Below are 16282 nucleotides of genomic sequence, written 5' to 3'. Positions count from 1 at the left end.
AACAAGTTTCAAAGGACTACACCCACACAGCATATGTTCTCTGATCTTAGTGAAATTAAACTAGAAATCAGCAAAAGAAAAATAACTTAAAAAGTCCTCACATGTTTGAAAATCAAGCAATATACTAGATAACCATGTCCCAAAAAAGGAACCACAATAAAAATTAGAAAACTTTTTGACCTGAAAAATAAAAAAAAAAAAAAGAGATTCCTGAATGATCACCTTACTTGGGGGAAAAAAAACAAAGATCCTTGACAGCCTACCTCATATCACATACAAAAGTTAATTTGAAATAATATCCCTAAATGTGAAAAGACAAACAATAAAGGTTCAGAAGAAAATTTAGGGAAATATCTTGGGGATAGGGAAGGATTTCTTGAACAAGAAACAAAAAGCAAAAAGCATCAATTTTTTTTTTTTTTTTTTTTTTTTTTTTTTTTGAGATGGAGTCTCACTCTGTCACCCAGGCTGGAGTGCAGTGGCACTATCTTGGCTCACTGCAACCTCCACCTCCCAAGCTCAAGCAATCCTCCTGCCTCAGCCTCCCAAGGAGCTGGGACTACAGATATGTGCCACCACACCCAGTTAATTTTTGTATTTTTAGTACAGACGGGCTTTTGCCATGTTGACCAGGCTGGTCTCGAACTTCTGACCTCAAGTAATCTGCCCACCTCAGCCACCCAAACTGCTGCGATTACAGTCATGAGCCACGGCGCCTGACTGCATCAATCATTTTAAAAAACTGATTAAATTACACTTCATTAAAATCAAGGGCTTCTGTTTATCAAAAGACAATAAAGCAAAAAAAAGTCAAGACTGAGAGAAAATATTTTCTATATATATGTGTATTTATATTGACAAAAGACTAATATCCAAAATATATAAATAATGCTTACAAATCAATAAGAAAAAGACAGACAATCCAATTTTTAAAATGAGAAGAGATTCCCAAATCAAATGGCCAATAAATTTATAAAAAGGTGTTTAATAATATTAGGGAAATGAAAATTAAAATCACAAGATACTACTATATATTTACCAGAATGTTTAAAATTAAAATGCCTAAAAATACTGAGGTCATGGATCAACTAGAATTCTCTTACATTGTTGTGGCAGTATAGATTGGTACAATCATTTTGGAAAATTGTTTGACAGTTTCTAATAAAGCTAAATACATGAATATTATATGTCCAACAGAAATGAGGGCTTATGCCCACCAAGAGACATATGCAAGAAGGTTCATAGCAATATTATTCATAAAAGTCAACAAAACTGCAGACAACCCAAATGTTTATCAACAGAAGAGTGGATAAATTAAAGTATACTCATACAATAGATTATTACTCAGCAATGGAAATAAACCAACTATCACTACATGCAACTTTGATGACTCTCATAGACATAATGTTGAGTGAAAGAAACAAAACACAAAAGAGTATATACTGTATAATGCCATTTATATGAAGTTCAAAATTAGACAAAACTAATCTGGTTTACAAGTTGTGACAGTAGTTAACTTTTGGATGAAATATTAATTGGGGTAGCAAAAGTGAGTTTCCTGGGGTGCTGAGAAGGTTCTGTATCTTGATCTGGGTGGTAGTAACACAGGTACATGCATATGCAAAAGCTTGCCAGCTGTATACTTATGACTTGTACACTTTATGTAAATACCTCAAAAAAGGAACAAAATAACTGTTATCACCTATTATCCACTGTTCTTTGAAAATCATAGTGACTATTTTTATAATTTTCTTTTTTTCTTTCTTTCTTTTTTTGTTTTTTTTGAGACAGAGATTCACTCTTGTCACCCAGGCTGGAGTGCAATGGCACAATCTCCACTCACTGCAACCTCCACCTCCGGGGTTCAGGCAATTCTCCTGCCTCAGCCTCCCAAGTAGCTGGGATTACAGGTGCCCGCCGCCACACCCGGCTAATTTTTTTGTATTTTTAATAGAGATGGGCTTTCACCATGTTGGCCAGGCTGATCTTGATCTCCTAACCTCAGGTGATCCACCTGCCTTGGCCTCCCAAAGTGCTAGAATTACAGGCATGAACCACTGTGCCTGGCCCATAGTGACTATTTTTTACAACTTGAACTCTTATTGTTGGTAAGAGTCCAGTGACTCTAGAACATAGTCTTTGGATCATATTTCAAATTCCTCACACATGTAACTTTCTAGCCAGACCCTGGGCCCCTGCCCTTTACCCACCCGTCAAGGTGTCCAGGAATTTGTGGACTCTCCTACCTGCTCCAACTCCTCCTCAGCATATTTTTGGCGGCTCCGCTCATTCTCAGTACCCTCCCGCAGCTCCTTCAGCCGCTGGGCTTCCTGCTTAGCAAGGTTGATCTCATCGCGCAGCTTCTTTTCCAGATGGACCTTCTCCACCTCCACTGTGCGGTGCTCCTCCTGGGCCTTGTGCAGCCTGGGGGGGCAATGCAGGGAGCTGGAGGAGGCCAGGCAAGGGGGTGCCAGCCAACATGCCATGAGTCATGGCATCAAAGAGGAAAATGACAGCTCCAACTCTCAGCATATATTCTCCCTGCTCTGCTGTGTGTCTGGCTCTGAGCTAGCTCAAGGCCCATAGAAACCACAGTCATTACCTAATTCACACACTGACCATCATTTTGCTGCCAGTAATCAAGGCTATGAAGCCAGGCTCTCAGGCATCTGAATCCCTCCTCGAAACTATCTCATACTAAAATCATAACAAGTACCAGTTTACAAGGTATTTCCCATTTGTCCTCCCAGCAGATAATGATATATTGGTATCATTATCAGCCTGGGACAGGCAGATACAGAGTCTTGCAACTTGTAGGAAGAACTGAGGCTAGAATTCCAATCTGTGTGACTTCAAATGCCACAATTATTCCTCTTATGTAGTGGTATCTAGAAAGTTCAATGAATGTAGAATACCCTGCAAGCTTGACAAAAAGATCCAGGGAAAACCTAATGGCTGAGAAATGACTGGGGTGGTAGCAGAGGGGTGGATTAGGGAAGATGAGGAGGAACTATTGAGCTAGGAGTCCTCTTGGACTCCTGAGCTTCTGTTCCCAGAAGCACAAAACAAATTAAATTTATGCCAAAGGACTCAGGAGAGTCCCCTGCTGCCCCCAGGCCCTGAGTTCCTTTCCTAAGTATCTTCCTTAGTGGATAAGATCTCAAGGGCATGAGTTATAATGTAAGTCTACCCTTGCACCGTCACACACATTCCCTCAGTTCACCGACAAAACCTTCCATCCAGCTAAACAAGCCTTCCCGCTTCTTCACTTCTTTCCTCCACACGGCTATCTATGTTAATACACTCATTCATTCATCTATTCATTCACCGAGTTCTTTCAAGTGCCTACTAAGTGCCAAGCCCTGTGCTAAGCCCTAAATACGTGGCGATAAATCAGAAAGCTCTCCCTGCCACTGAGGAGCTCATGATTTACTCCAACAAAGACAAGTAGACAGATAACTGTATTCAGTGTGACAAATTCTATAATAGAAAGAGATAGATATAGATATATAAGGTCTTGGGTCTTCCCAAAAGATGGAGTCATCAGCTCTGCCTGAAAGGAGTCAGGGAAAGAAAGAGAGACTTGGGCTACACCCAGAACAAAGACTGAGAGTTTGCTAATCCCTTTGGAAGAGAAAACGGACTTTACTGTCTGGTCTTCCTTTCTAAGTAAAAACCACCAGGTTACCAGGGGACCAGATTAGGAAGGAGAAAGGATGGTGAAGAAGAGATAAGATATATAGCTTAGACTTGAGGTATAGAAAAGAAAGGATAGACTACAGAACAAGAAGGACCCCTAGAGAACACTGACCACTGAGATAATTAAGTAGATGAAACAAACAGAACTCAATCTGTAAAAAAAAAAAAAAAAAAAAAACCTCTAAGTCCAGAGCTATCAGTGGCGGAGACTTCAAAAGACATCATGGAACAAGCAAGGAGGTAAGAAGAGGAAATGTTAGGCTGCAAGCTTCCCGCAAATTGTGATCTGCCTAATTTGTCCCTGAAGAGAAAGGGAGTTGAACCCCCTGAAAATGAACACCAGATGGCGATATATGCATAGGCAAAGACAAATCAGAGGCGCCATTTCCTGCCATCTCCTTCCCTTGCTGAATATCCTCCTTTACTGTACTCTTCCATGACCCAACTATATAAAGTTACACCATTAAGGATTCACTTCTTCACTGAAATACTGTCCTTTTATGAAAGCAGCCTCTTGAGAAAAGCCAATACTATGATATGTCTGTCCTTTATAATAATAGCGAGCTCCTTTAAAGTAGAATCAAGACTGACACCCTTTCATAGTTCCAATAAGGTCTGTTAGAGATGGAGAACAATAATCATTGTTGGGTGTAGAAATGAGCAAATAAGTATACAATTAAGCACTGCCCCACTCCAAGGCAACAACAATTAGCATTGCAATTAGTCCTGGCTCTAAGCAGTTGTGTGACTATGAGCAAGTTTTGCCTGTTTTGGGAATCAAAATTCCTGCCTGCCTCAAATAATTATCTTGAAACTCAATGAAATCCTAACTGGACTGTATATGTAGAATTATATTTATTCACATAAATTATCAGGAACTCTGTAATAAAGCTCTGTGAAAGCTGGCATTGCAGGTCTGTTAATACAAGGAGGAACCAGGTGGCATGTGGGCTCTGGACACTCAGAGGAGGATATATGTGTGCATGTGTGCAAGCCTATCTCTAGGGGGAAAAGGGGAGGGGTGTCTTTGTCTCTTTCTAAGTGCCACAGTGGTCATTTAGCTCTGGAAGCTTTAGGGAGCAGGGAGTGCTGGGAGCTTAGTTTTATCCCCAAACTTGGAATGTCTCCTGCCTAGATTCTTTTGCCTTTGGAATGGAAACAGTACATGTTTTTCAAACAAATGAGGTATGGGGACTGCTCAGACAGCAGCAGTTAGCTCCTAACTGGCAAAGGGCCCAAGAACAAGGGGCCCAGCAAAGTAGCCAGGAATCAGCTTAGAGATCAGACCCCTCTTGCTCCCTAGAAGCCCAGCCCATGGAAATAAATCCAATAAGTCTGCTACCTCAGTAGAGGCAGCACCCTGGAGTGTCAAAATTCCTAGTTCACTACTTACTGATATATGACCCTGAACAAAGCACTTACCCTCTCTGAGCCTTCATTTCCCCAACTCTAATAGTACCTACTTCAAAGGGCCATAGTGATTAAAAGTAATAATGCATTTAAGTATTTAACAATACCTGGCTCACAAGAAGTCTTGTCCCTACCCCTCCAAATTAAATAGTGTTTACCATTTAAAAATAACACAATGGCTGGGCACAGTGGCTCAGGCCTGTAATCCCAGCACTTTGGGAGGCTGAGGTAGACCTCTTGAGTCCAGGAGTTCAGGAAAAGCCTGGGCAACACAGCAAGACCCCTGTCTCTACAAAAAATAAAAAAATTAGCCAGGCATGGTGGCATGCACCCAGCTACACAGGAGGCTGAAGCAGGAGGATCTCTTGAGCCCAGGGGGTGGAGGCTGCAGTGAGCCATGTTCATGCTATTGAACTTCAGCCTGGGCAACAGAGCAAGACCCAGAGTCAAAATAATAATAATAATAATAAATAGAAATAAATGAAAAGACAAGACTTCATTTCCTTTTACATGAATTCCTGCAAAGACTTCCCAACTAGAGTCCCTAGGCTTCCAGAATCATTTTCTAAAAGACAGTCTTGAATAGACCTCTCCTCTTCTCGAAAACAAAACAACCAAAAAAACCTGATTTGACTCTCTATTGCCTTCTGCATCCTACTAACTTCCCCACATGCATCTTAAGGTTCCAGGGATCTGACCCCACCCTATACACTCAACCTTAACACCTAGGACCTCGCTACCCATCTTTAAAGGCTACCTCCTCAGAGTCCCACATCCACTCATCCACCTCTTTGTCTTTCTAGACATTAGCATTCTTATCCTATAAGCTGAGTCTGGAACTAAGTCTGCATTAAGTGTGCTCTCACTGCTGCTTCTTGTGGGTGTGTAAGTTTTTTTTCTCAGGACCAGTGAATTTCTCATAACTGCCATCACAGAACTGGTTCCTAGACGTCAGGACTGACTGACTGACTGACGGGCACTCTCTTTTCACAGTTAAATCTTCTGCCATAGTTTTGAAGTCACATTTTATTTTAACAGAATCCCAGACCATCTGAGTTGGAAGTGTTCTCCTAGGAGAGTTTAGCATTCTCCAAGGTCAATCCCTTCATATTACCAATGAGGAAATAAATCCTGGGAGGGAAAGAAATTTATCCAAAGTTATATAGCAAGTTAGTGTTTATGAGATTTAGACTCCTTATAAGAAAGAACTAAGGACAGTAAGAAGGAAGGTTTTGAGGTTTCTTTGGGGAACAGTAAAGAACAGTTCATTACATCTATTTATATGCTAGGAGAAGCAGTCCAGAGACAGGCAGAAGGAAGAATGACCCCATAACAAGCAATGGGAAGCTCAAGACCTCTGGCAGCTACACATTTCTCCCTCTGAAGCTAAGAGGCAAAAAAGATAGAAACAAGTTTCTCCCCAGGAGGAATAACTGCCCAATAGCAATTGGAATATCAGCAACCTAAACTTGCAATGCAGTTTTGGAAGGATGATGCAGCCTGGGCTGCCATGCTGACAAGGTCTCAGGGGCCAAGTGGCTCACACCCAGGTGGAAATAGGAGGTTCCCAAGAACTGGCAGGGCCTCACCTTTCCTGAAGGGGCAGGCCTTACCTTTCCTGAAGGTCATGCAGACTCTGCTCAGCTCGGTGTAACCCCTCCAAGTCCTTCATCATCTTCTTCATGTGCTCCTTGGAGTAACGGTTCTGGATATAGGCAAACCAGCAGCCGCCCACACCAATAACGATAGACACCACCAGCATGAAGTCCTTGAGGTGATTATGGCGAGTCACTGCCAGAGAGGGGAGGGCATGATGAGTTAGGGTGCCCACTGCACACTTAGCCTTGCAGACTCCACTGCATCCCTCCTCTATGAAGCCTTCCATAACAGACACACTCTCCCACTGAGAAGGAATTAGTTTCTCTTCTTAGATACACACTTGCCATACACTATTACAGTAAGCTCTATGTCTATCTCTCTGCTAGCCAAGGCTTTGTTTTGAAATGAGAGGCCTTACAGCAATACAGGATGCTTATTAAATCACACTTTCTTAAGATGCAGTGAAGAGGAGAGAACTAGTGCCTTCTCAATATGCCCCAGCCATCTCTGGGCTGGATGAGCCCATATGCCAAGATGTAGTGGCTTCTGTCATACAGGGTAAGCAATTCTAAAGTTCCACAGTAGGTAAATGGAGATGACTGGTATAAAGGATATAAAGCAATGTCACCAGAAGCCTCAGTTCTGGCTGTAGGACTGAAGTCACTGTAGGAACTAGGTATCCTGGACTACCAGGCCATTCTTGGCACAGATCAGGGAAAGGTCCAGAAGTCTCAATCTATGGAGAACATTTCTAGGCTACTGTGAAATCCAGAGACTCTAGAACAGGATAGCATGAATACATTCATATGGATGAGACATTATACCTACCAGAAATTGAGGGGCAGAGCTATTTTCAGAGAACACCTGGTAGCAATTCAGTGAACCACGAGGGCCCCAGCCACCAGCTGGGGTTCAAAGAATGCCCATTGTCCAGAGCAAAATTTAAATGTTAAACAAGAAATGACACCACAAGATAAAAAGCAAAAGCCACATCCTAAAAACTTAGCCAATCAGGAGAGAGGCATTTCTGGAACTAACATTGTTCCTGGTATACCAGATCTGGGCTCTGTGCCACAGCACAAAAGACTTGAAAGGGGCACTATAAGAAGGAGACAGCTACTCCTGCATCCTCTGTCTAGGTTTTGCTGTGGGCTCAGAGGAGCCCTGGATGTGGGAGTCAGAGAAAGAGGGAAAAAAGGGAGTTATGCCAGGGCTAATGACCCTCTGTGCACAGCAAGTTGCCCTTAAACAGCAGAGAAGGAGGTAGGACTGGCATGATCCTTGGACATAGTAAGGACATGGGGCTGGTGGAAATCCAAAAGGACCCAGGTAGAGCCACCAAGTTAAGGGAAGGTCAAGACACCAGAAAAAGAAACCATATGATACTGATGCCTATAGTTTGACAAGAAGAGTTACCATCATAGCTCCTCACAGAAAGGCTGAGCAGCAGAACATGGGGATGAGATGGGATCAAAGACAGATTAACACATCCTATTTCCACCCAAGGGAGGGGGGTCACTAGGTCAGGGTGGTGGCCATGTCCTTCATATGTTTATTCCAGGCTCTCTGAAAGAAAATTGAGGGTCCTCTAGCGGCCATCCCCTAGCCTCCAGGCAGGCTACAAGTCTAGCCATACGTAAGCCATCACTCTCCTGTCTTTCAGGTTCCAAGGGGAGCTATTTCTGCAGCACAGTGAGTTGCCTTACTTCCTGGAACACACCTGCCTCCTCCAGAGCCACTACCAGAGCCTGGGGTATTCTTTGTCTCCCCTGTTTGTTAATGACTTTTAATCTTGGTTTCCTAGGGTTTCTCAACTTCAATATCCCCTTTATATTCTTACCAAAAGTCAAAGGTATCCTTATTCAAACAAGACTCCATGCAACGAGCACTTCCAGTACCTCAAATACTTAAGGTGGGTATGCAGATTGAGCCTAGTTATTTCATTTGGTTTCTTATTCTACCTTATCCAGTTCAATTTGGAACCAGATCTATTATTTTGCCCAGCTTCATATTCTCATCCAAGTCATGAATAAGAATACTGAATAACCAAGGCCAAGGATAAGATCTAACAGTCACTCCCTCCCTCTAAGGTAATACTGTTCCACCTATCAGTACCACTGGATTCCTTCAACTAGTTTTGACTCCACTTAAATATACAAATATCCATCCTATCCAACCCTCTGCCTTGTCAAATGTATAGATAAAGTCCGGAAATACTACCTGCCACATCCATGAGCTACCAAGCTTGATAAAAGAAGATGATTCTAACACGGTTGATTTACTCTTTAAGGTTCCTAGTGATCATCACTTGCCTATATATGCCAGTGCACAGCATAACATCAACCAGCATACAGAAGTCACTCAATAAATCTTGGAAGGATTGATTCTTTACTGATAAGCTTCAAGTATGATAATATCTCCCTTCCCTTAATCCGTATAAGAAAGGAAGGGAAATAGAGAAAATATAAAACATATCAGGCATTTATATTCATCGTCTCTTATCCTCACAACTACTACATAAGATAGGTTATTGGTATTCCCATTCTGTAGACCAAGAAACTGAGGCTCTGTAAGGGACACTAACTTGCTAGAGCTGGGTTTAAATCCAGATTTGCCCAACTACATTGTCTTTCTGCTACACCACACTTTCTCACTACAGCTTTCATATTCACGCAGCAAATATTGTTTCTGTTTTGTTACAGGCAAACATCTCTTACAATGGAGATGTCTAATATGGCCCTGATCTAGCTCAAGCTAGACTCTTGGAACTCTTGACTCTAAGAGTTCCAAGGCCTGAGTTTTCCCCCACACAATATCCTGGAAGCTGATAGTGGCATTGCCATCAGGGCAGTGAATACCCCAAGGCCAAATAACCAGGCCTTAAGATTAAACACAAGGGTCCGTGTAGAGAAATTCTTGTGCTACCAAGGGAGGCATCCCACACTATGTGTTGGGAAGCCTGGTTCTATGTTTGCCTCTGCCCCAATTTGTTATATAATTCACTTCCCCTATCTAGACCTCAGCTTCCTCAGCTGTAAAATGCATTAGAGTTACTACAGAGATAGAATGTGTGGTTACTAACGAGATCGAACGTGTAGGTGTAAATGACAGCACTTTGAGGTGTCTTGGAGATACTCAGATGGACATGCCAGGAGATAATTAAGAATATAGATGTGGAGTTTGAGAAAGAAGAAGTAGCTGAAGCAGTAGATGTAAGAATTGTCGGGTCCCTCCCGCAGAGCCCTAGGCTGTACCCCACACCACTAAGTGAGTCTATGAATCATTGTGTAGAAAAAGAGGAGAGAATAGGCAAATCAAGAGTCTAATCTATGCCTTACTAATAATCTGCTTCTTCCCATTATAATCCCATTCCCATTCTTCAATTCCTACTGTCTTCTCCCTACCATTGCCCACAAAGCCTTCCATTCCATCTCCTGTGAGCTACGATCAACCCATTCTTTGGACAGGTAAACATAGGTTATCTCTTTATTTCTCAGGGACTGTCTTGTGTGTTTTTCAACTTTTTTTTTCTTTTTTAGAGATGGAGGTCTTGCTATGTTGCCCAGGCTAGTCTTGAGTTCCTAGCCTCAAGAGATCCTCCTACCTCAGCCTCCCAAAGTGGAATTACAGGAGAGAGTCACTGCGCCCAGCCTATTTTTCAACTTCCATGTCAGTCACCATCTGGTAGTCTGTGAGTTCCTCAGGGCCAGGGCACAAGGTTTATTTATATCTCTGTAGCCCCATACTCTTAGCACAGGGTCTGACCAGAACAGGTATTTAGCAAAGGCAGAAAAGGGAGAAAAGGGGAGAATGCAGGGAGGTTTTAGGTGGAAAGGGAGCTACAATACAAAGTGCATATAGAGGGCAAATGCCAGCTCCTGGAGACAAAAAGAGCATGGCCAGCTGCATCGCACAACCCCTACACAAACTCAGCTCTCAGAATCTACCTTGCACTCAGTAACCATAGCCAGGGCAGAGTAACCATGGAGGTTTCAGGAGAACAGATGTGGCTGGCTAGGTGAACAGAGCTAACCCAGGGAAGCTGGCTGGGACTGGGGGAACCAGAGGATGGCAGAATTCCCAGTCTGTGTGCTGCAATTAGATTTTAGCAAAATGAGGTCAACTATTAACACCATCAGGCCTGAGACAAGGGAAGTGGTTGTAAAAAAATGAGATACTGAGATGTTAACAAAGTCAGGGGTAATAATAAGAATTTTCAGGGTACAAGTTAGCACTGAGAAAGTGAGCATCCAATCATTATCACCTTCTGGAATCCCTTCTCCCAATCTATTCTCTCCACCCTGTCCACTTCACACAATACCCTGGCAGATATAGATATTCATCCCTCACTGCCAAAATATGTAGTAGGAATTTCTTTTGTCATTTACACAGCCTTCTGTGCTGGGATGTCTGTTTAACGTGTAAGAGCTACTCATGGGCCCCCCTCCCTTCTAGTTATAGCCCAACAAATGCTTTAAATGCCTCAGCTATTCAGGTACTCCATAGATAGCATTTCTCCCCAAAACCAAGCTGGGCCAGATTCTTCTCCCAAATCCCCTCACTTCTGTAGTCTGGAGAGGCCCAGCCTCCTTCCATATAACTTCTAGCACACATCTCCCAGCACTTAATTCTGGCTAGATCTTAAGCTGGGTGCTGATGACAGATGAACAAAATTCTTTCATCAAGGAGTTCCCAGTTTAAAGGATAAAAGGCAGAGAGACATATTGTTATCAAAAAAAAAAAAAAAGTACAAAGGGCTGTGGGTTCCTACAGGAGAATAAGAGGAAAGAGTTGAGCATGCCTGTAAAAGGATGGAAAAACATCCTGGAGAAAGCTTGAAGGGCAAATTGGACCATAACAGAAAAGAGAGAGAGGGTAAGGATGCAGGTACAGAGATCAGAGTGAGCTTTGCCAGAAAAGCAACCACTCCTGCTCACTGGGGACTTTCCCCTATTTTCTGAGCCAATGAAGAAGGAAGATGAGGCATAGTCTTTTCTTTTCCTATCTCCAACTGCCCCTGACCCGCAACAATTATTCTGTAGGCCTCCCTGCACTTTTCTCAATATTCCTGCTGAAAGCACAAAGGGCATGCTAGCCCCTAGCCCAGGACTAAGCACACTGTAGGCACACATTAAAAATTAAAAATAGTAGCTACCATTTATTTAGAGCAAATTGGGGCACAGAGAACCTTAGAAATGTGTCCAAGGTCACAAAGCTACTGAGTGATAGAGCTGGTCAGCTTGATTTCAAAGCTGGAACTCTTTATTATATCTTGTTTCCTCTAATGGAAGTAGAAGATGGATAACATCTCCTAACATCTCCAAACACACCTAACATCTGCAAACTGGTACTGTTTGGCGAGCCCTAGATGGGCCTGTAAACCCAGAGCCAACTCTGTAGAGTGAAAAAGATCCTAAAGGGCAGTGTGCTACTCTGTGGTCACATGGGGAGGATTAAGCATGCCATCTACTGTCAGAAAATGGACCTTGAGGTGGCCCTCTGCTGAGCCAGTCTGATCCCTCTTCCCTCTTCCCTCTTCCCAAGTTCTGAGGCTGCTGTGGACAGATGGCACCTGTTCCCTCAGCAGACCCTCTTGGCTACTGCATGACAAACCTTTAATTGAAGATATGTCAAGCCTCAGACCAATAACAGAATTTTTATTATAGCTCAGTAAGGTGGCCATAGCTCACAGCTGTAACAAGTCTAGGTTCTCTGGGGTGTTTGTGTGCTAAATGACTGATGATGAGGTCTAAGTGTCTGCTCACTCAGCCTTAAGAACTCATCCTAAGTTCAGAATACAGGTCAGAGCCAGTACAGGCCTCCTAAATGGGTATTAAAGAATAGAACTGAAATAGGGATTTTTAGTCCATGCTCAGAGGGGAAATAAAGTCTAGAGGGGCACAGATCAAGGGACTTTTTGTAAACACCCAGCAGGCATGTCCCTACCCCTTTCAGAAGTCTCCTGGCAAAGAGCTCCTTAGTATTTTCCTCAGATTCCAGCCGGCGATTTTCAAATATTTCCTTTGACAAGCATCAGTAGAAAAATATAAAAACAATATTTGCCATCAGGACAGCTGCTGATTTCTAAAACCTTAGCTTCCAAGAGTATACCCAGCTCTATCAGAATCCTTGAATGAGAGAACCAGTAAGAACCTTTAATGAACAAACCCATTTTACAGATAAGGAAACCCAAATCTAGGCAGAACTGAATTGCCAAAGCTCACTTAATAAGGCAAGGACCAAGCACAGAAGTCCTAAAAATACAGGATGCAGACACCAGGAAGGAACAGACCTCCTGTCTTTTACACAGAACCCTTATTGAGGAAGAAGTTCCTCCCAAAAATCATAAAATGTCACAGCTGAAAGGAACTGTAGGGAGGAATCTCCTGATACAAATCATAAAACACACCTGAGAAAAGTGACTACCCAAGGTCACACAGTGAGTGGCAATTTTGAAAAGGGACCAAGGTCACCTGCCAATACAGGGTTCTTCCCCAAACTTCAAACAAGTTGTCTGAATAAAAATCCAGGAGCTACAAAAAAAGCTGTTCAGGCATACCTCGGATACACTGCAAGTTCAGTTTGAGGCCACTGCAATAAAGCTAATATAGCAATAAAGTGAGTCACAAAAATTTTTTAGTTTCCCAGTGATAAAAGTTATGTTTACACTATACTGTAGTCTATTAAGTGTATAATAGCATTATGTCTAAAAATACAGTGTGCGTGCCTTAATTTAAAAATAACTTATTGCTTAAAAATTCCGACACAGAGACTCAAAAGTGAGCACATGCTTTTGGAAATATGGTACCAACAGCTTGATCAACACAGGATTGCCACAAACCTTCAACTTGTAAAAAATGCAATTATCTGCCAAGTGCAGTAAGGCAAAGCACAATAAAACAAGGTATGCATGTATATATTTATTATTAAGATATAATTCACAGACCCTAAAATTCTAAGTCTCTCTCTTAAAATGGGCAATTCAATGATTGTACTATATTCACAAGGTTGTGCAACCACTGGCAAAATTAATGTTAGAATATTATCATTACCCCAAAAAGAAATGCCATATCTATTAGCAGTCACTTCCTATTTCCCACTGCCCCCACCCCCAGCCCCAGAAACCACTAATCTATTTTCTGTCTCTATGGATTTGTGTGTTCTGGGCATTTTATATAAGTGAACTCACAAAATTATATAATATGTGGCCTGTTGTGACTGGCTTCTTTTACTTGGCATGTTTTCAAGGTTCATCCGCATTGTAGCATATATCAGTACTTCATTCCTTTTAGTGACTGATTAATATTCTATTGTATGTATATACCATTTTTTTTCCATTCATCAACTGACAGACACTTGAGTTGTTTCCACTTTTTGGCTATTATTCTAATTTCAACACATCCTCACCAACACTTGTTACTGTCTTTTTTATTATATCCTAGTGGGTAAAAAGTGTTACCTCATTGTAGTTTTGATTTGCATTGCCCTGATAATGATGTTGAGCATTGTTTCAGGTGTATATTGGCCATTGAACTGTGGACTATACAAATAATATGTTCAAATCCTTTGTCCATTTTTTGTTTGTTTGTTTGTTTTGAGAGAGGGTCTCACCCTGTCACCCAGGCTGGAGTGCAGTGGCACGATCTTGGCTCACTGCAACCTCTGCCTCCCAGGTTTCAGCAATTCTTATGCCTCAACCTCCTGAGTAGCTAGGATTACAGTCATGTGCCACCACACCCGGCTAATTTTTGTATTTTTTTAGTAGAGACAGGGTTTTGCCATGTTGGCCAGGCTGTTCTCAAACTCCTGTCCTCAGGTGATCTGCCCACCTCAGCCTCCCAAAGTGCTGGGATTACTGGCATGAGCCACCGTACCTAGCAAGAATTTTTTATGTATTCTGGATAGTAGAGCCTTGTCAGAAAAATGTTTGCCAATACTTTCTCCACTTTGTGGGTTGTCTTTTCACTTTCTTGGTACATTCTTTGAAGTATAAAACTTTTTTATTTTGGTGAAGTCCAATTTATCTATTCTTTCTTTTGTTGTATATGCTTTTTAAAAAATAATTTGAGGTAAAATTCACATAATATAAAAGTAACCATTTTAAAGTAAGCAATTCAGTGGCATATAGCACATTCATGATGTTATGCAACCACTACCTCTATCTAGTTCCAAAATATTTCCATCACTCTACAGTAAAATTTTTTACCAGTAAGCGGTTTCTCCCCATTCCCTCCTCCCACCAACCCCTGCCAACCATTAGTCTACATTCTGTCTCTGTGGATTTATCTATTCTAATCATTTCATATTAACAGAATCATATAATATGTGATCTTTTGTGTCTGGCTTCTTTCATTTAGCATAATGTTTTCCAGGTTCATCCACATTGTAGCATGTATCAGAACTTCATTCCATTTATAGGTGAATAATATTCCATTGCACCACAATGTATTTATCTATTCATCTATTAATAGACAGTTGGGTTGTTTTATTTTTTGGCTCTTGTGACATGTGCTGCTATGAAAATGCATGTACATGTACTTGTTTGAGTACTTGTCTTCAATTCTTTGCATATATACCTAAGTGTGGAATTGCTAGGTTCTAGGGTAACTCTGTGTCTAATTTCTGAGAAACCACCAGACTATTTTACACAGTAGCTGAACCGTTTTACCTTCTCACCAGCAATATACAGGGTTTCAATTTCTCTATACCCTCGCCAACACAAGTTTTCCATTTTTAAAAACTATTATTATTATAAGTATCCCAGTCAGTGTGAAGTATATTCTTAGCTTCAGTACCTGTGTTCTGCCTATCTCAGGAAGATAGTTTTCCTGCTGATCTCTGGCCTTCCTTAAGTTAGATCACATGCAGCACATGGGCTACATGCAATAAGCCTAAGAGAAGAATACCCCTGTCCTGGTATCAGTCCAACCTGCTCCACCAGGGCCCCTCTTGTTGGTTCTGATATCCTGGACCCAGTACCATGTCCCCAGCATTCTGGTTCCCATGCTAGCTGATTTTTTCAGATAAAATCCTTGACTGCTTTAACCTGCAGTTTCTACTGTATCCTTTCAGACATGATAAATCTGATTTTGATACAGATAAAGCTTGATAATATATATTACAAGGCTAAGGAAGACTTTCAGGCTGCTGAAAGCTTCCCCTTGCATGGTGGTGACAGAGGAGAACCTCTGCAAAAGTAGCCTAGCTTTTATAGTTGGGTATAAGTGTCCTTGTTGGTGTATACAAAGAGATGTGTAAGCTGTTAACATAGGGAGAGTTTAATAAGGCCACTTCTCATCTTTTAAGACTCAGCTCAAGAATTACTTTCTCCATAAAGTTTCCCTGGACTCCAATAGGAAACTCCTCCCTAGTTTGTGCCCCCAGTTGAACTCTGGAAAGACTTACATAATAGCTATAACACTTACTATATTTGTTGACACTTTACTATATTTGTTGACATAGCTATCTCCATTTAGATAGAAGTACTGGAGAGCAGGGACCCTGCCGATTATGCTGGTACATAGAATGTGCTCAGTAAAGGTTAGTGAATGACTGGAAGGCCATTGCTCAATAC

At 41.7% G+C, this 16282-nt stretch overlaps 1 protein-coding gene across 22 annotated transcripts in view, besides 1 other annotated feature; it reads right to left on the bottom strand.

The window, feature by feature from the left end:
• The window catches only part of STIM1 (stromal interaction molecule 1), a 238607-nt gene that overhangs the window by 16285 nt on the left and 206040 nt on the right, over positions 1-16282 (bottom strand). For 17 of the 22 annotated variants that reach the window (NM_001382578.1, NM_001382575.1, NM_001382580.1 and 14 more), the window contains 2 exons: positions 6723-6900; positions 2247-2424 (listed from right to left, as the gene is read on the bottom strand). The exons of 1 other annotated variant lie outside the window; for it this stretch is intronic. In NM_001382578.1, the coding sequence (NP_001369507.1) occupies positions 2247-2424; positions 6723-6900 (356 nt within the window). Of the gene's footprint in view, positions 1-827; positions 1672-2246; positions 2425-6722; positions 6901-16282 lie in introns of those variants that run through there. 4 more of the 22 variants (NM_001382574.1, NM_001382572.1, NR_168437.1 and 1 more) reach the window with 2 other exon arrangements.
• Positions 3913-4207: an enhancer, noted in NCBI's record as "tiled region #1570; HepG2 Activating DNase unmatched - State 12:CtcfO". NCBI's record gives its function as "activates a minimal TATA promoter and a strong SV40 promoter by Sharpr-MPRA in HepG2 cells {active_cell/tissue: HepG2}" and the evidence as "EXISTENCE:reporter gene assay evidence [ECO:0000049][PMID:27701403]".

Source organism: Homo sapiens, chromosome 11, assembly GCF_000001405.40.
Source record: "Homo sapiens chromosome 11, GRCh38.p14 Primary Assembly".
NCBI lineage: Eukaryota > Metazoa > Chordata > Mammalia > Primates > Hominidae > Homo > Homo sapiens.
Note: the sequence above shows the minus strand (reverse complement) of the source record. Positions and strands in the feature narration are given on the sequence as shown.